The 20,002-nt window shown below is 37.8% G+C and overlaps 1 annotated feature.

Annotated features, from left to right (window-relative positions):
- Nucleotides 327-621: an enhancer, noted in NCBI's record as "tiled region #1666; HepG2 Activating non-DNase unmatched - State 8:EnhW, and K562 Activating DNase unmatched - State 8:EnhW". NCBI's record gives its function as "activates a minimal TATA promoter and a strong SV40 promoter by Sharpr-MPRA in HepG2 and K562 cells {active_cell/tissue: HepG2 | K562}" and the evidence as "EXISTENCE:reporter gene assay evidence [ECO:0000049][PMID:27701403]".

Below are 20,002 nucleotides of genomic sequence, written 5' to 3'. Positions count from 1 at the left end.
TTTTTTTTTTTTTTTTTTTTTTTTTTTTTTTTTAAGATAGGGTCTTACACTGTTGTCCAGGCTGGATGAAGTACAGTGGTGTGATCACGGCTCACTGCAGCCTTAAACTCCTGGGCTCAAGTCATCCTCCTGCGTCAGCCTCCTAAGGTGCTGGGATTACAAGCATGACCCACGGCACCTGGCTCCACTGCATAGCATCTGAATGTAAATTGGGCAGTCAGGGAAGACCCAGACTAGTCTCTCAGCCAGTGAAGGGAGAGTATGGAGATAATTTGTTTCCAGCTCTTTTTACTTAACTGTTGGACAATTTCCCTTTCTCAAACATCCTCCAAATACTGGTGTATTTAGAATGAGACCCTCGCAGGTGCTGACCTAACACCACTTCAAGGTTTTCTACCATAACTAAGACCTCAACGAGTTGTTCGATTTCCCAGAGCTCTCGGCCCAGGCTCCCCCTGGCGGCCGCTGCGGAGAAGCACCCAGTACCAACTGGGCCAGGGAGCCTCCGCGCTCGTGGAGCAGAAGGGTCAAGAGCAGATGGTGGCCGCCATTTGTATTTACTAAGCCCAAGCAGGGCAAACACTTCACAGGAGGCACCCAGCTTGTGACGCAATCCTTCCCCAGGTGGAGGACACACTCACATTCTGCTCTGGGGATTCCAGTACCAAGAGGACAAACAGTGGTAGGGGACAGAGCTTAGGTCCTCTGGGAGGAAAGTGGCTGAGGAATTGGGTGGAGGAGGCCGAAGCCTTTTATGGCCTCTCTAATTCTTAAGTAGTTGGCTCACATCCCTCAGGGCTGGCGTTATAATGGTACCTGCGGTGCTTAGCCAGCTTGGCCTAGGGAACTTTCTCGTCCAATCTGGACTGGGCCCTGAGCTCTGTGCAGCCTGTGTCTATTCTTGGTCACACACTTGAATACTCCAGTTTTTGACTACCCAGTTTCTAATACATTTCAATGGAAGCCTGTGCTGTTTAATCCCCAGGATGCCCCTGTAAGCTAGATTCTTTTATTATCCTCATCTTGGAGATGAGGAGACTGCAATACGGAGATCCTGTGTCTCCTGCTGAGGATCACTCAGCCATGCAATAGAAAAGTTGGCATTGAAGCCTAGATCTGAGAGCTTCAAGGGCTGTTTGCCTTCCACCAGGCTATCCTGCACTGAACACAGTAATTATTTGTTACCTATAGACATGACCAATCATAGAACTGAAGAAAAAACCTGGAGTCAAAGCAGAAGGGAGAAACCTAATTATTCACAATTCTACTTGTGTCTTCCTTCCTTCCTTCCTATCCCTCTCCCTCCCTATGGTTTGTTCTACAAGCTTTCCTTTTATCAAAGAATCACTGCCAAGCCGCAGCTTCCTGTGTTTTGTCTTATTACTCAGAGAAGAAAGTAGTGTCTGCTGGCTTGATCTGTAACTCGGGCCGTAATTACTTCTGAACTGTTAGGGTTCAGAGGGCTGGCTAAAGATCTCCAAGAAATATCAGAACCTTCTGATTCTGTCATCTCTTGGGTGGAACTTAGAGACAAGTAACGTTATTGGAGCACTATTAAGTATCATATTCTGATTTATAGATAGATATTCTAAGGGGTATGTGTCTGTGTGTATACACACACACACTGTGTACACTTTGGGTCTGGGCTCTTTTGCTCAGCATAACACTTCTGAGATTTATCCATACTGTTGCATACATCAGGGGTTTGTTTCTTTTTATTGCCGAGTAGTACTCTGTTGTATTGATATACAACAATTTATTCACCATTCCCCCTGATAGACATTTGTGTGGCTTCCAATTTTGAGCGATTATGAAAAATGCTATGAACATTTGTGTACAACTCTTTGTTTAGACATATACTTTTGTTTTTCTCTCAAATGTTTTATTTCCTGTGAATGAAATTTCTGGGTTGTATGCAAAGCATGTGTTTAACTTTTTAAGAAATTGCCAAACTGTTTTTCCAAGTGGTACTATTTTATATTCCCACTAACACTGTTGGAGTTTCGGTTGTTCTACATCCTCATTAACACTATTATCAGTGTTTCAAATTTTAACCATTACACATAAGTTTTAGTTCATGTTGTCTCATAATTTTAATTTACATTTCCCTGAAGATTGATTATGTTGAAGATATTGTTACGTATTTATTAGCTGCCCATAATCCTCTTTTGTGAAATGGATGTTTAAATATTTTGCCCATTTAAAAAAAATCGGGCCTCTTATCTGTTTCTGAATGAGTTATAGGAGTTCTTATATTCTCGATATAAATTCCTTGTCAGGGCTGGGCGCAGTGGCTTACGCCTGTAATCCCAGCACTTTGGGATGTCGAGGTGGGTGGATTACTTGAGGTCAGGAGTTTGAAACCAGCCTGGCCAACATGGTGAAACCCCGTTTTTACCAAAAGTACAAAATTTAGCCAGACATGGTGACAGACACCTGCAATCCCAGCTACTTGGGAGGCTGAGACAGGAGAATTGCTTGAACCCGGGAGGCGGAGGTTGCAGTCAGCCAAGATCATATCACTGCACTCCAGCCTGGGTGGCAGAGTGAGACTCTGTCTCAAAAAAAAAAGAAAAAAATTCCTTGTCAGATGTGTGTATGTCCGTGTGTGTGTATACATATGTGTGTGTGTGTGTGTGTGTGTGTGTATATATATGAATGACTATGTAACTATATATTATATACATGTATCTGAAACTTGCCTTTTTAATATTTAAATATGTTGTCTTTCACAGAGCAGGAGTTTTTACTTTTGATTAAGTCCAATTTATTAATTTTGTTCTTTTGTGCTTAATGCTTTTTTGTGTCTTTCAGAAAAGAAAATAACAAAAAAGAAAATCGCACACACAAAGTCTTTAACCTTAAGTTTGAAAAAATTTTCTCAATGTTTAGAAGTTTAATAGTTTTAGCCTCTTTGTTATACTTATGGTAATTTTAGAGTTAATTTTTGTGTATGTTTGAGGTAAGGTTATTAGTCTGTTTTCACACTGCTATAAAGAACTACCCAAGACTGAGTAATTTATAAAGGAAAGAGGTTTAGTTGATACACAGTTCCACATGGCTGAAGAGGTCTCAGAAACTTACAATCATGGTGGAAGGTGAAGGGAAAGCAAGGCATGACTTACATGGTGGCAGGAGACAAAGAGAGCGAAGGGGGAACTGCCAAACACTTTTAAACCATCAGGCCTCGTGAGAACTCACTTCACTATCATGAGAACAGCATGGGGGATACTGCCCCCATGATCCAATCACCTCCCACCAGGTCCCTCCTTTGACACGTGGGAATTACAATTCGAGGTGAGATTTGGGTGGAGACACAGAGCCAAACCATATCATAAGGGATGAGGTCAAGTTTTTCCAAATGAATATACAAAGTTGTTCCATTACCATTTGTTAAAAAGATGGAGGTTGTGGTGAGCTGAGATCATGCCACTGCACTCCAGCCTGGGCAACAGAATGAGACTCCGCCTCAGAAAAAATTAATAGATCACATATAGTAGATCTATTTCTGGACTGTCAATACTGTTCCTTTGATTTATAAATCTGCCCTTATAACATTACACTGTCCTGATTGTAGCTTTTTTTTTTTTTTTTTTTTTTTTTTTTTTTTTTTTGAGACGGAGTCTTGCTCTGTCACCCACGCTGGAATGCAGTGGCACAATCTCGGCTCATTGCAACCTCTGCCTCCCGGGTTCAAGCGATTCTCCTGCCTCAGCCTCCTGAGTAGCTGGGATTACAGGCACCCACCACCATGCCTGGCTAATTTTTGTGTTGTTTTTTTTTTTTTAGTAGAGATGGGGTTTTGCCATGTTGGCCAGGCTGGTCTCGAACTCCTGACCTCATGATATGCCCGCCTCAGCCTCCCAAAGTGCTAGAATTAGAGGCGTGAGCCACTGCGCCTGGCTCTGATTGTAGCTTTATAATCAGGTAATATAAGTCTCCCAACTTAGTTCTTTTTCAAATTGTTTTGGGTATTTGATGTCCTTTGTGAATTTTGGAATAAGCTTATCAATATCTAAAAATAATCTGCTGAGATTTTGATAGGAATTGAGTTAAAGATATAAATTAATTTGGAAAGTATTAACTATATTGAGTTTCCAATCTGTGAACATAATATATCCCTGTGTTCATTTAAATTTTCTTTAATTTCTCTTAGCAGTGTTTTAGTTTCCATTTTGCAGATCTTGAATAATTTTTTTTAATTATACTTTAAGTTCTAGGGTATATGTGCACAATGTGCAGGTTTGTTACATAGGTATACATGTGCCATGTTGGTTTGCTGCACCCATTAACTCGTCATTTACATTAGGTAATTCCTAATGCTATCCCTCCCCCTGTCCACCCTCCATGACAGGCCCTGGTGTGTGATGTTCCCTGCCATGTGTCCAAGTGTTCTCATTGTTCAATTCCCACCTATGAGTGAGAACATGTGGTGTATGATTTTCTGTCCCTGTGATAGTTTGCTCAGAATGATGGTTTCCAGTTTCATCCATGTCCTTGCAAAGGACATGAACTCATCCTTTTTTATGGCTGCATAATATTCCATGGTGTATATGTGCCACATTTTCTTAATCCAGTCTATCATTGATGCACATTTGGGTTGGTTCCAAGTTTTTGCTATTGTGAACAGTGCCACAATAAACATACATGTGCATGTGTCTTTATAGTAGCATGATTTATAATACTTTGGGTATATACCCATTAATGGGATGGCTGGGTCAAATGGTATTTCTAGTTCTAGATCCTTGAGGAGTTGCCACACTGTCTTCCACAATGGTTGAACTAATTTACACTGCCACCACCAGTGTAAAAGCATTCCTATTTCTCCACATCCTCTCCAGCACCTGTTGTTTCCTGTCTTTTTAATGATCACCATTCTAACTGGCGTGAGATGCTATCTCGTTGTGGTTTTGATTTGGATTTCTCTGATGACCAGTGATGATGAGCATTTTTTCATGTGTCTGTTGGCTGCATAAATGTCTTCTTTTGAGAAGTGTCTGTTCATATCCTTTGCCCACTTTTTGATGGGTTTTTTTTTCTTGTAAATTTGTTTAAGTTCTTTGTAGATTCTGGATATTAGCCTTTTGTCAGATGGGTAGATTGCAAAAATTTTCTCCCATTCTGTAGGTTGCCTTTTCACACTGATGGTAGTTTCTTTTGCTATGCAGAAGCTCTTTAGTTTAATTAAGATCTTGAATAATTTTTAAAAATTTATACCTAAGTAGCTCATCTTTTTGAATGCTCTTATAAATTATATTTTAGTTACTTTTCCAATTGTTTGTTGCTAATATATACAGATGCAATTGATTTTTACATGTTAATCTTGTATGCTGAAACAAGGTTAATCTCATTTATTAATTCTAGTAGGAAGACTTTTTAGGATTTTCTAGGTATACAGTCATGTCATCTGTAATTACAAATAGTTTTATTTCTTTGTTTCCAAACGGTATGTCCTTCCCTTTTTGTTTTGCCTTTTTACGTTAGCTCTGACCTCCAGCATTATATTTCCTTGTTCCAAATTTATGTGGAAAAATATTCAGTTTTACACCATTCAGTATGATGTTAGATGTAGGTTTTTTTGTAGATAGTGTTAATCATGTTGAAGAAGTTCTATTCCTAGTTTGCAGAGTTTTGATCATGAATGGATGTTAACTGTTGTTAAACACTCTTCCTACATCTATTGAAATGCACCATATTCTGTTACCATGATAATATGATAAACTAACATATTAAATTATAAATTAACATTAAATTCTGTTACTAGGTTATATGATAAATTACATTAATTGATTTACAAATGTAAAGCCAAGATTGTATTCCAGGAATAAACCCCACTTGATTATGTATTGCTATCCTTTAAAAATATTACTAGATACAATTTGCTAATTGTGTTGGAAGGATTTTTTTTATCCATGTTCATAAAGGACAGTGATCTATAATTTTCTTTTCATATAATGTCTTTGTCAAGTTTTCTTAACAGGGAATACTGGCCTCATCTTCTATTTTCTGAAAGAGCTTATGTAGAATTTGTATTATTTTTTTCTTGAAATGTTTGAATGTTGAATGTAGAATTCATTAGGAAGCCATCTGGCCCCAGAGATTTTTCTGTGTGTAAAGGTGATTAATTACAAATTTAATTTATTTAATAAGACATAGGTTTATTCAGATTTCCTATTTCTTCTTGAGTCAGTTTTGGTAAGTTGCATTCTTTTAGGAAATTTGTCCATTTCATCTAAGTTGCCAATTTTTTTGGCATTATATTATTGATAATATTTTATCCTTTTAATATCTGAAATATCTGTAACGATGTTCTCTCTTTCATTCCTGATATTAGCAATTTATATCTATTCTTTTATTTATTTATTTATTTTTTCTGAGACAGGTCTGTCTTTGTCACCCAGGCTGGAGTGCAGTGGTATGATCATACCTCACTGTAATCTCAAACCACTGGGTTCAACCAATCTTCCTGCCTCAGCGTCTCTAGTAGCTGGGGCCACAGGTGTGCACCATCATGCCCAGCTAATTTTTTTTTTATTTTTTGTAGAGTAGGTCTTGCCATGTTGCCCAGGCTGTATTCTTTTATTTATTTATTTATTTAGAGATGGAGTCTTGCTCTCTTGCCCAGGCTGGAGTGCAATGGTGTGATCTCCGCTCACTGCAACCTCTACCTGCCTGGTTCAAGTGATTCTTCTGCCTCAGCCCCCTGAGTAGCTAGGATCACAGGTATGTGCCACCACACCTGGCTGATTTTTGTAATTTTAGTAAAGACGGGGTTTCACCATGTTGGTCAGGCTAGTCTCAAATTCCTGACCTCATGATCCGCCCGCCTCGGCCTCCCAAAGTGCTGAGATTATAGGTGTGAGTCACTGCGCCCAGCCCCAGGCTGTATTCTTTTATTTTTGAGAAGTTGATGTAGGATTTTAATAATTATATTGATTATTTAAGAGAACGAACTTTTGCTTTTGCCCTAACCTTAACCCTAATATCTGTTTTTTATTTTATTGTTTTCTGTTCTTGGTTATACTATTTCTTTTTACATATTTTTGGGGTATAATTTGCTCTTCTTTTTCTAGCTTCTTAAGGTTATATTATTGACCCATTATCTGCCTATCGATTCAGGTTTGCATTTTCCTTGCTTGATCTTTTATAGCCAGTGTTATGTTAAATGCTTTCCTTATTGTTATTCATTCTTTTATTATTTTGGATCATGTCTTGTTTTCTCGAATCTGTTTTTACAAGTAAGACAGATAGATAGAATCATACCTTGTTCTTTGACTTGTGCACAGATATTAACTTAGTGTTCTGTATATGTTATGTGCTTAATAATTATTAAAAAATATTTTAGTGTGTTTCCAAGCACCAGATCTATATGAAGAGTGGGGAACAATGCACATAAGAGGAGTGGAGCTTAACATTCCTATTTGGTCATCAAAAGCCAGCTCAGACATCATCTCTTCTTGGAAGGACTCTCCATAGGCAGAAAGTATTTCTCTCTTTCATTCTATTTTGTTTATCTTGTATACACTCCTCTTGTTGTACCGATGTTGTATCATAATATTTTAAAAATTAGCTTATAGGTCAGCCTCTCCTACTGTAGTTTTAGTTTTTGACAACAGGGACACTGTCTTGTTCCTTGGTGCCTAGCACAATGCCCGTCATACAGAAATTATCCATTAAATGTTTGGGTGAATGAAAGAACAAAAAGCCTTTCTGTGTCTCTGAAGTCTGGTGAAACATTCAGAACATATGTAACAATCCGTGCTCTGTTGTTCTATATTTCAGAGAATAAACATGCAGGCCTATTGTGTTTTTGAAATGCATTTTAAATGGAAAAAGTTTCAGCATGTGTTGTAAGTTACTGCTGTCCCTCAGAGTAGGGTCCGGAATCAATCAATGTCTGGGACCCAAAAGCACGTGGACACCACCACTTTTCACCCCCAACCCTTTAATCTGTCTCAAGAGAAAATGACTGGTTTAAGCCAAACTAACCTCTCCTGCCTTCGTTCTCAGACATGGGGACTGGTTCACAAAGAAAGAGGGTCTGCAGCTCCACTATTTCAGAAATGCTGAACTCAGAGCACTTAGATAATGGGAAATGTCCCGAAACTCCAGCCAGATCAATTTGTTCCCCCTCCCTAGGGCTATTGTCACAGTGCCCTTGCCAAAGCTCTCAACAAGTCTTCATAATCTCTTACATGCTTGGTTCTCTGTGGAGTTTTCCAGGCACTTTCCTACCCATTATCTTTTCTAATCGCCACAACAGCTGCTATATACGGTATTCCAGAGGGCACCGAATGAAGGAAAGAGATCCAGCTCTGGAGCTGGACAGCACTGATTCAATTCCTGCTCTGCCAATTACTGATGTGGCAGGGGGCAAATATCTTTACCTCACTAAGCCTCAGTTTTCTCATTTGTAAAATGGGGATAAAAATACTCAAAGCCTTCTTGTATAACTCAGAGCTAATATGCATAAGCCATTTAGCACAGGATTTGGTACCTGGTGGGTGCTGATAAATGGTAGCTATAATTGTTACTATTTTCATGTTCTGTTAATGTAATTACTTTGGTTTCCTGTAGCAATTCAGGGTAAGATTAAACCAGGTGCCACGTGCAGCGAAATACTGCTAATGGCTAATGGACATCATATATATTGTCAATTAACTGACTTATCACACGATATTTTCTAAAAGCAAGGGTAGAGGGAACTTTAAAAACCTAAAACCAAAAAGAAAAAGCACCAAACCAAATGGAATAAAGGCAAGCCCTGTAGCTTAAATATTGCTGGAGTGCAATTATGTCTGTCCTGGAATCAGTGTAGACCTTGTGCATAAAGTAGCTGCTTTGGATAAGTTGGTGTTAGTTTATTTGTTCCTATGAACAATTTAACAAAAAATTGAACTGGCATCTATGCAGTGCTGAATGCTAAGTTTAGAGAGAAATGAATATGTAAACCTTTGATTTGCTGAACAAACCTTTGGTCTTCAACAAAAGACTGTACAAAGAACACAGAGCATGGAGCCTCTAACTCTACCTGGGAGAACTGGGCAGAGGAGAGTTGAAGGATAGGTTGGCTTTTCCTCAGATGGTGTTAACACTAATGGCATCTTCAAACTGTGATGAGGTTTTGTGAAGATCGCTGTGGGAAGTGGTGAAGTGATGATTAGCTTGGTGTGATAATCAAATATTTGCTCTATAGCTAGGCAGAACTCTGAGTGAGAATCCATGCTCTGTCATTGATGAGTTGGATGAACCTTGGATAAGTTGGTTCAGGTGCTTGCGTTTACACAACTTAAAATGGAGATGCTAGTAATAGCTACCTTGGAAACTTTAAGGGACCAACAAAAAATTTCCTGTCTTCCTCATTTAGACTTGGAACTAATTGAAAGGGTGGAAATTAGAGAGATAAGTATAAAAATGTCATGTTACTACTTATAAAACTGTATTGAAAAACTTGGATGCTTAGAAATGATGGGCTTCCTAATTCTACACCCCAGTAATGAACATAGTCACTAGGCACTGGCAGAAATGGAAACTACAGGCCCCTTTTAGGAGGAAAATGTGCTCCACGAAGCTTACTCAGCAGGAAGACTCGAATGCATTCAGGTCAAAGAGTGGCTTTAGACGTGGCTGAGCCAAGTGCATCTAGTTTCTTCTTCCCAACTAACCAATGGGTTGAGCGACTCTCCCAGGGAGAATGAGGGGTGAGCAAGAGGCTAAGAGTTTGCTGTAGTGAAGATCCTTAATCTACAGGAAAACCTGAAGTCTGAGAAAGGGAGGGTGCTTCCAACATCCATATTAGCAAAGAACTGGATTAAATATGAGGTAAAATATACAGCGAGCACTCTAAGCATAGTGCCTGGCAGGCAGTAAACACTGAACAAATGTTAGCTTTTATTGTTGTTACTATGGCAGTAGATTAACAGGGCCCAATATATTCTCTGATATTTTTCCCTTAATGTATCCATGAAGACATGCAAAACCTCAAACACTGGATGCTACAGAAAGGACCATATGCCAAAGTCTGAAGGGGAATTTTTTCCAGCTCTACTATTGATAAATATGTCCATCCTGGATAATACTGTTATATAGAAACCATGGAACTCCCTTTTGGGAAGCAGGGATGTAAATTGATCCGAAATATTGACAAACCTTATGCAGCAACATCTCTTCTGCATTTGGATATTTTTTAGCTTGATAGAAGTCCTAGCCTCTCATTTTCATAATTTTTCTCCACACATAATCAGAAGCTACAACTCACAGAACATGTGATGCATTGCATCTAGAAAGTAGCTATCCAAGGAAAAGCATTCTGGTAGAAATGGTAGAGTTCTGGGAACAGTGCAGTAGGTAGAGATGGGGTAGTGATGAAGGAAGAGGCAGGAGAAAAAGGATGGGGTCTTTATGCTCTATATAATAAAAGAACCAACAAATGCATCTAGCCCCAAAGTCAGTGAGAGGAGAGTTCTCCTCAGCCCTGATCAGTCAAGAAGGATAATTACCTACCCAGCCTAGGACTAGGGGCCATGCATATCCACTCCTACTTTAAGTCTAAATCTTATAAAAGAATACTTCAGCACCCAAAGGGACAGAGAGAAACCAAGGAGATGCCATGGCCTCTACCTGTTGGCATAAGGTGGTCTTTGTACAAGGATAAGTCAATAGGTTTTTTAAAAGTGCCCTATAAAAATTACTATAGCATAAAGGAAATGGAAAATTATTCTCTAGGCTCAAAGGGAAATCATAACTCTAAAAATTACTTGCTACAGAAGTCAGAAAATATTTTGGAAAACATTTGCTTTTTTCAATAAAATGCAAAAAGTCATGGTATCTCTGAAAAAGGACAGGTGAGCCTGAAACAGAAATGGTGTGAGATGAAAAGAGTTTGAAAGTCAATTCCAAAAGCAAGACTAATATTCATGTCCATTTTGGACATGATTTTATAAAATGAAATTTCCTGAAGAAAAGATTGGAATGAAACAAAAATATCTAAGTTTTAATAAAACAAACTGTTCTTTAGTAGAAGAAAAGGCCAGTGTTTAGAGATTAACGTGATTTGGTATTTTCCAGGTGACTTTTATATATTGCTGATGACATTTTTTTAAAGTTTAAGGAAGACAAAAAGTTCTGTAAAAATTCATGCAAAAAAATCACAAAACACAACCAAAACCAACAGCAACACATTATCAAGAAACAAAAATCAGACTTCTCATTGGCAACACTGAATAACTTAAGAAAATAGAACAATTCTGCATAGTTTTGAAGGAAAAAATGTGAACCAAGTAATGGTCAGAGAAACCAGGTGAGGGATCTGGAAATGAATAACTGTTCAAGGAAAAACATTGTGGTAGAAACGGTAGAGTTCTGTGAACACTAATCTAGAATCTAAATCATTAGATTCTAGAATCTAGTAGAATCTAAATTAATTCAAGAATGTTAAAATTGTAGTACAATAGAACAGGTAATAAACATTGAAAATAAGTGAACAGTGTGAACATGAAAACTGTCAGGATCCTGTCAGAAGACAGAAATCATCTAGATATTTCAATCAGAGGGAATTTAATATAGGCTATTTGTTACTTAGAGGATGGTCTTCCTTACTTCTCAAACTTTAATGTCACCTGGGATCTTTTAAAAATGCAGATTCAGGCTGGGCGTTGTGGCTTGCACCTGTAATCCCAGCACTTTGGGAGGCCGAGGCGGGCGGATCACTTGAGGTCAGGAGTTTGAGACCAGCCTGACCAACATGGCGAAACCCCATCTCTACTAAAAATACAAAAATTAGCCAGGCGTGGTGGCGCGCGCCTATTATCCAGCTGCTCGGGAGGCTGAGGTAGGAGAATTGCTTGAACCCAGGAGACGGAGGTTGCAGTGAGCCGGGGTTGTGCCACCGTACTCCAGCCTGGGCAACAGAGCAAGACTCCGTCTCAAAAAAAAAAAAACAACAAATAGATTCAAATTTAATAGATTTGGAATGAGCCCTGAGATTCAGCATTTTAAAGATGTTCCTAGATAAAGCCAATGCTGCTGGTTCCTGAAACACTTTTTGAATAGTAAGGAAATAGGAAAAGTTGAGGAAACCAGAGATTAGCAGTAACAGGAAGACACAACTTTCCTTAGGGTTGAAGAAACACGGGAGGGGATGCTATTTCAGTGTCACTGAGTGGTAGCTAGCCCTGTGGCCAGGGTTTCCCGATGGGAGCTGGGACCAAGGTGAGAGGGGCTGGTAGGATCTGAAATCACAGTGGAGATGCAGCTGCTGCTAGAGACCTAGCTGGAGGCAGAGTGACAGGGAGTTAAATACCTTCACTAGCCTCTGATCTTCAGCAAGTATTTCCTGTTTGCTGCAACTACCTTCCCCAGTGCAGTATGCAGCCTTGCTGGCTCTCAGCTTCTCCTCTGAGTCAGCCTTTAATATGCTGAGCAATTAATTAAACTTGATCCCAACCACTACCTCTAAACGTAGACAATCAAATGAATCACAAGGGGCTCTCTAGGTATAGGATCCACCTCTTAGAGCTAGAGAGATGCGGTAGGGGAGAATAAGGGGGGAGTAACAAGTCGAGTTTACATCAATAACAAACGCAGTTTTCCTCCTACACTTATTGCCCTGTGTAGCTTCTTTTCTCAGTGTGCCGACCACACCATGCTCTCTCCCACTTCAAGGCCTAAACAAAGGCTGATGCCTTACCATGGAATGTGTTCCCCCATACTCTGTGTCTGGTTAACTCCTCATCATTTAGATCTTAGCTTAAATGTCTCTTATTAACAGAAAGCTCCCTAACACCCTAGACTAGATAAGGTCTGCCTGAAATAATTTCTTATAACATCTCTTCCTTGCTCTTCCTGGCACTTATAACAATGCGAACTTATATTTGTGTGATTATGTTCTATGTCCCTGTCCCCGCTAGGCTCTAAGTTCCATGAGGGTGAAAATGGTGTCTACTTTGTTAAATATGGTGTTTGCCATGCCTGGATGCACCTCTCCAGGTCATTAGCATAAAAAAGCAGATTGGGTGTTTTGGTGGCCAGAGAACATATTCCTGATGTTAACATTTGAGTGTGAGTATAGAAATGTGATTTCTGGAAGGCATTTTGCTTTGATAATGAGCTGGTCAGTCAGGAGTTGATATTATTCTAAACTTTCAAAAGTTGCATCACATATGTAACCCATAAAAGTGGCATTTAAAACATAATAACAACTACCATTTGTTGAATACTATCCCATGCCAAACACTGTGCTGTTTTACAGACATTTAATCCTCACAACCACCTATAAGGTTATTCCCATTTTACTGATGAGGACGCTGAAACTCAGATGGTGAATGATGTCCTATATTTCATAAGTAGTGGAGCAAAGATTAGGATTGATGTCTTTCTGTCTTTATTAAGCAATGTAACTATTATAACTTCTAAATAACTAGTTTTAAGTTTAATTTAATAGGCTTTTTTTTTTCTTTTTTCTAACTCAAGGGTGAAGACCTAAGCTGTGAATAGCACAAAGTCTTCAGGGAATGTTCCTTCCTGGGCAAAAGGTAAGTAAAGCAGGCACCTGTTTGTGCAGGGGTGTGGCAGCCCCCAAGGAAGCCCACAGTGGAATATATATCTCTCAGCTGCAAAGAGCCAAGAGAGGTCTTTACGGGAAGTTAAGTCCGAATTGGAACCAGGAGGAAGTTTGGCAGGTCAAAGCCACTGGTGTGCCAGCTCTTAAGAGCTGATTGTTAAATTTTTAGGAATTTTGCAAGCTGGTTATTAGATATAGTCATTATTAAACATTAACTTTTATAAACCTGTAATTTAAAAGTATATTAAAAGCAAAGGTAACAAATACTTAAAACTTATTACTTCCTAATGATTTTATTACATTTCACTATTATTTATGCTCTTGAGTTACGTCTGCTGAAACTGAATGGTAGAAATACTATATAGTGGTATGCTACTGTGCATCTCTTCCCACTTCTGTGTTGGGAAGGTAGCTTGAAATTGTCCATCGTCCAATGTTTACACCGTGGAAATTGGCAAGCACTACATATCAGTCCTCCCATTTCTGAAAGCTGGTTGTCAGATGTTTGTCAGCACACTACTACTGCTTTAATCCCTGGGAAAGGGGCCAAGATCAGAGCCAAATGTCAAAAGCCAAAGAACAGTACAGATTAAAGCTGTAGTTCCCTGTGGTTGCTGCCCTCTGTTATTTGGGGTAGTTAGCATTCAGGGAGCTGGAGAATGGGGTTTTGGTATTTTGCAAATAGAAATGTTTGGTATAGAAAAAAATGGTTTAAATGCTTATGAGAATAAAATTGTGAAATAGAAATTAGATAATATTAATATAAACTCAATTGGTAAACATTTTTTGAGGTCTAACAAAACCCCATTAGTATATAAAGTAGTTAGAGATGAGATACTGGGATTCTTTTGTCTTTTAAACTTGGAGGTGTTGCGTGAGGCGTAATGTATGTTACAAATCGAACACTCGTCACACCCTGCCACTGCGCCGCTACTGCATGACCACTGCCTTCTCTCTATGGAAAGCTACAAGACAGTTGTGTACATTTTGGAACGTTTTTGACTCTTGTTATATTTGGAAGAGGCTCTGGGATGTTGTCTAAAGAAGCTGAGAATTATTTATAAGAGGTAAAGGTGAATTGTGAAATGATGTGATGGTGCGACTGTAGTTAGAATTACTGTCAACACCTTACAATTTTGGCTGTGCTTGTAGAATCGGTTTTCCTTAAAGGCTTTAATTATCTTTGAAATCTGATTCATAGCAACCCAGGCAGTAGGGCAAGGAATATAAAATTTTATAGAAATGTTCAATTCAAATTATCTGGGTGAAGTTGGCCAGTCTCAGTAAGTGGTGTGTTTTACCTGGCATGCTTCTCCTAGTTGATTAAATGTCTTACTTGTTTTAATTGATTACAAAGTCATATGTGCTTATTGTAAAAATTCACATAACACAGACTACAAATCTCTTACACACTCACAACCCCAAACCCCAGAGGTAATATCCCATAAGTAAAACAGTTGAGAGTTTTTCTACCTATATGTACTTAACATATAAATATGAAAATTAAATGAGATCATATTGCTCTGCAACTCTTTTCATTTAAAAAAATGTGATATGGTATACCTACAGAAGATTATATAAATGGATGCATACAAATTATAACTAAATGAACACTGGTGCAATCTCTACTTAGAGTATGAAACAGAAAATTGCCTGCACCTTTGAAAGTTGCTGTGCCCCTTCATAATCACAAGTACTTACTCCTATAACATAGGAAACGATGACCTTGACTTTTGTGACAACCGTTGTCTTGCTTTTCTTCATACTTACACCGCGTATCTATGTATTCCTAAATAATCTTTTGTTCAGTTTTGACTGTTTTGAACTTATATGAAATCAATCATTCTGAATGCATTTTTGTAACTTTCTTTCATTCAGCTTTGAGAATGAGATATATTAATTTTACTGCACATAGCTGTAGTTCATTCATTTTTATTGATGCATAATATTCCATTGCAGTGATAGAAATCAGTTTGTTTAGCCAGTGGATTTTTGATGAACATTTGTGTCATTTTTAGTTGTTTGATATTTTTAATGATGCTATTTTAAATACGTACACACACACATACATGTATCTGGTGTAAGTATATTGAAGTTTTCTTATGATGTATACCTAGGAGAGGGGTTATTGAATCACAGGATTTGGATGTGTTAATCTTTACTAGGTAATGCAAATTGTACTCTAGAATGATTTACCAATTTACTTTCTGATCCATGATGGATGAGAGGATCCTATTTCTTTAAATGTTTGCTAATACTTGGTATTGCCAGGCTTAAAAATTTTTGCCTTCATATATCATTATAGCTTTAATTTGCATTTATCTGATCCTAATGAGGCTATTTTTTTAACGTAATTATTGACCATTTTGGTTTCCTCTCTCATGAAATTCCTGTTAAGTCATTTGTCCATTTTTGGTCTTGAATTGTCTTTTACTTAAGGATTCTTCAGTGTTCTTTATATGCAGTTTTTCATCAAATCTAAGATGCCATCATTAAAAATGTACCACTGTATTACATTAAGAACAAAAACATTTTCAATTACGTTGTAACCTGCCAGTGATCATAAGATGCACCCCAACGTCCATGATGGTAAAATGTGGAAAACTGTTTGTCTTAGATACAAAAACTATGGTGTTCTAAGTAGAAGACCTTTGCCAGTTATACGTGTTGCAAATAGCTTCTCCTGATTTGTTGCTTGGTTTTTCCCTCTCTTTATAGTTCTCTTTGATTAACTGCAGTTCTAGCTTTTAAGGAAGTCGAATTTATCTACCTTTTTCTCTACGGCTTTTTTTTTCTTTTTGCATCTTTTTAAAGAAATTATTTCCAGCTGTGAGATAATGAAGATATATTAATTTCTAAAAGTTACGTAGTTTTCTCCTTCTCATTTTACCTTTAATCTCCCTAGAGTTGATTTTAGTTATGGTGTAAAGTAAGGTCCAATGGCATCTTTCACCTTACGCCTGTGTCTTTTTCATTTTTGTCAACCTTTGTACCAATACTCTACTGAGTTTCCTGTAGCTTAACATCTGTTAGAACAACTTCCTCTCCATTTCTTCTTCTTCAAGGACATTTTTGGTTATTCTTGGCCCTTGGCACACATTTCACACACTCAAAATCCACTTCCTCCAAACAAAAAACTTGCTAGGACTTTGATTGGGATTGCTTTGAATCTATAGATCAATTTGAGAAATGACATAATAAAATTGGATCTTACAATCTATTAATGTGATTTGTATCTTCATTTTTGGAATCCTTATTGATTTCTCTTGATAATGTTTTATAGTTTTGTGAGTGTTTTGCAGAGTTACTGTAAGATATATTCCTGGGTATTTTAAATGCAGTTAAAAGCAGTATTTGTGTTTTTGTGTCTTGTTGCGATATATAAAAATATAATTGAGAGTTGTATATTGCCCTTGTATTCAGCAACATTTTATATTTCAAGTTTATTCTAATAATTCATTTACGGATTTAAAAATCACCTACATATATAATCAAAACATCTGTGAGTAAAATCAGTTCTGTTTCTTTTGTTTGCCATTATGCTAGGATTTCTAGTATCATAGTATAATAGTATAACAATCTAATACTGAAGAGAGACGATAATAGTGGGCAGTCTTGTCTTACTTTTTTTTTTCTTTTTTTTTTTGAGATGGAGTCTTGCTCTCGCCCAGGCTGGAGTGCAGTGGCATAATCTCAGCTCACTGCAACTTCCGCCTCCCGTGTTCAAGCGATTCTCCTGCCTCAGCCTCCTGAGTAGCTGGGACTACAGGCACGTGCCACCACACCTGGCTAATTTTTTGTATTTTTTAGTAGAAACAGGGTTTCATCATGTTGGCCAGGATGGTCTGGATCTCCTGACCTCATGATCCGCCTGCCTCGGCCTCTCAAAGTGCTGGGATTACAGGTGTGAGCCATTGTGCCCGGCCCTGTCTTGTCTTACTCTTGATCCCAAAAATAGCATTCCATAGTTCACAGTTTGCTGCTGGGTTTTTATTTTTGTAGTTACACTGTATAAGATTAATGAGTTTCCTTGTATTCAAAACCAAGCTTAATGGCTGAATGATCTTTAACTGGTTTCTTTACTTGTCTGTGAATTAGTGTCCTTATCAGAAAAATTGGATGTCCTACTCTAGATTCCCTAAAATGCAAACACTGGGACAAGGATTAAGTGCTAATGCTTTAGGTGAGAGATGTGATCCCAGGGCAGCAAGAAAGGATGAAAAGAAAAGGGAGGTGGTAAAGTGTGGGAAGCAATGTAGGGTAAAGCCTTTCTGCACTGGCTACTGTCATGACTACAAACACATAACTGCGTCTCAGCAGGTGAGTCAGTCACTCAGCCATGCATGAAGCCTCCAGACAGGCTGCATGGCCATCTATGTCTCAGCACAGTCAGTGGGCAGGAGGAAGGAGAGATTTTATCCTTCTGCTTCCTGTCTTTTACTAGTCAAAATTTTCCCCAATAGGAGTTAACTTTTCCACACTGTGGGTTGCATTATCAGGCTTTTTGGCAGCTATGTGTAGCCACTTCTGTGGAGTGGCATTTCATCTGGGTCTGGAGATTGTAGGAGGGGCCAGAGACTCCAGATAAGTGGCTGCTCAGCCTCAAGCAGCAGAAGGGTGTGTCCTTTGCCTGAGATGCTGAGTGAAGCAGAGCAAATGGCTGAGTCCAGGAGACAGGTGAGGCTGAGAGACTATGAGGAGGAACAGTAAATAGGTCAAGTTGATTGTGTGGATTAAATACATTACTTGCATTTAATCTTAGGTTAAATAAAATGCTCAGAAAAGTGCCTGGTATAAAGTGAGCTCTCAAATACTATTAACTAAAATGCAATCCAATTTATAATCCCTTTCTCTATAGACATTAATCTTTGTGAAATGCTTAAAGCCTTTCTCATTCAGCTATTCTAAAAGTATCATCCATCTGGATTTTATTTCGGTATAAGAAGTGAGGTCAGAATCACGCTTTATGTTTTTCCAAATGACTTGACATGGGTCCAAACACCACATATTGAATATTTCATATTTTTCCGTTCCTTTGAAATTTGGTTTGTAAGATATTGAACTTGCATATTTATTTGCTAATTTATTAGCTTTTAATTCTGTTCTATTGATACATCTGTAAATTCTATTGTACTGTTGTAAGGATTGTAGTTTTATGATAATATAGTACTGTAGGGTATGTTCCCATTTCTTGCTCTTCTTTTTAAAGATTTTCCTGATTATTTTCATATGTTTATAATTTTAGATAAAGTTAACAATCATTTTTAAGGTTTCTTCTCTTAAAAATGCTGTTGAGATTTTGATTGCGAATATATTAAATTTACAGTGTAAATTAGGAAATATGTATGATGGTGCAATATACTTTTAAAAAAAAGCTCTCTCCTTTTATTCAAGATTTAATGTTTATTAGTAAAATTTTGTAGTTTCCTATAAGTACCAAACATTTCTGGTTATATTATTGCTAGATACTTTATGACTTTCTGTAGTTGTGAATGGAATGCTTTCTTCTATCTTTATTTTACTTGATTATTGTTTGTATATTAGGAATCTATTGGCTAATTTTTAACAACCTTATTGAGTCATATTTTGTAGTATTATATCCATTTCAAGTGTTCAATGATGTTTGGTGACATTTAGTGAGTGGTCCAACTACTACCGTAAACTAGTTTTAGAATATTTTCATTCTCTGAAGATATATTTTATACTTATTTATAGTGAATCCCAGCCCCTACCCCCAGGACAACACCAGTCTACTTTCTATCCCTATAGATTTTCTGAACAATTCATGTAAACGAAATCTTGCTATATGTAGTTTCTTGTGTCTGGCTTGCTTTCACTTAGCAAGGTTCATCTATGATGTAGTGTGCGTCAGTATTTTGTTTTTACTGCTGAATAATATTTCACTGTATGGTTATACCACATTTCCTCTATTCATTTACCAGTGATGGACATTTAGATTCTTTCCAGTTTTGGAGTATTATGAATAATGTTACTGTGAACATGAAGTCTTTGTGTGGACATGTTTTCATTTCTCTGGGGCAGATACATAGGAGTGGAATTGTTGGGTTATACAGTAATATTATGTTTAACTTTTTGAGAAATTACCAAACTATTTTCCAAAAGGGCTATACTGTTTTACATTCCTACTAACAATGTATGATGGTTTTCTACTGACTTTAAAATATTTATGTTGTACGTGACTACGGAAAATTGTTTTTATTAACTATTTTTATGTTGATGCTTGTATTAATACACATTCTTTCTGTTTTGTTGTTGTTGTTTGTTTTGTTTTGTTTTTACTGGTAGGGTCTTGCTCTGTAGTCATGGCTGGAGTGCATTGGCACAATTACAGCTCATTGCAGCCTCGAACTCCTGGGCTCAAGTGACCCCCCTGCCTTAGCCTCCTGAATAGCTAGGACTATAGGCATGTGCCACTTATAG

The sequence above is a fragment of the Homo sapiens genome, chromosome 11 (assembly GCF_000001405.40).
Source record: "Homo sapiens chromosome 11, GRCh38.p14 Primary Assembly".
NCBI lineage: Eukaryota > Metazoa > Chordata > Mammalia > Primates > Hominidae > Homo > Homo sapiens.
Note: the sequence above shows the minus strand (reverse complement) of the source record. Positions and strands in the feature narration are given on the sequence as shown.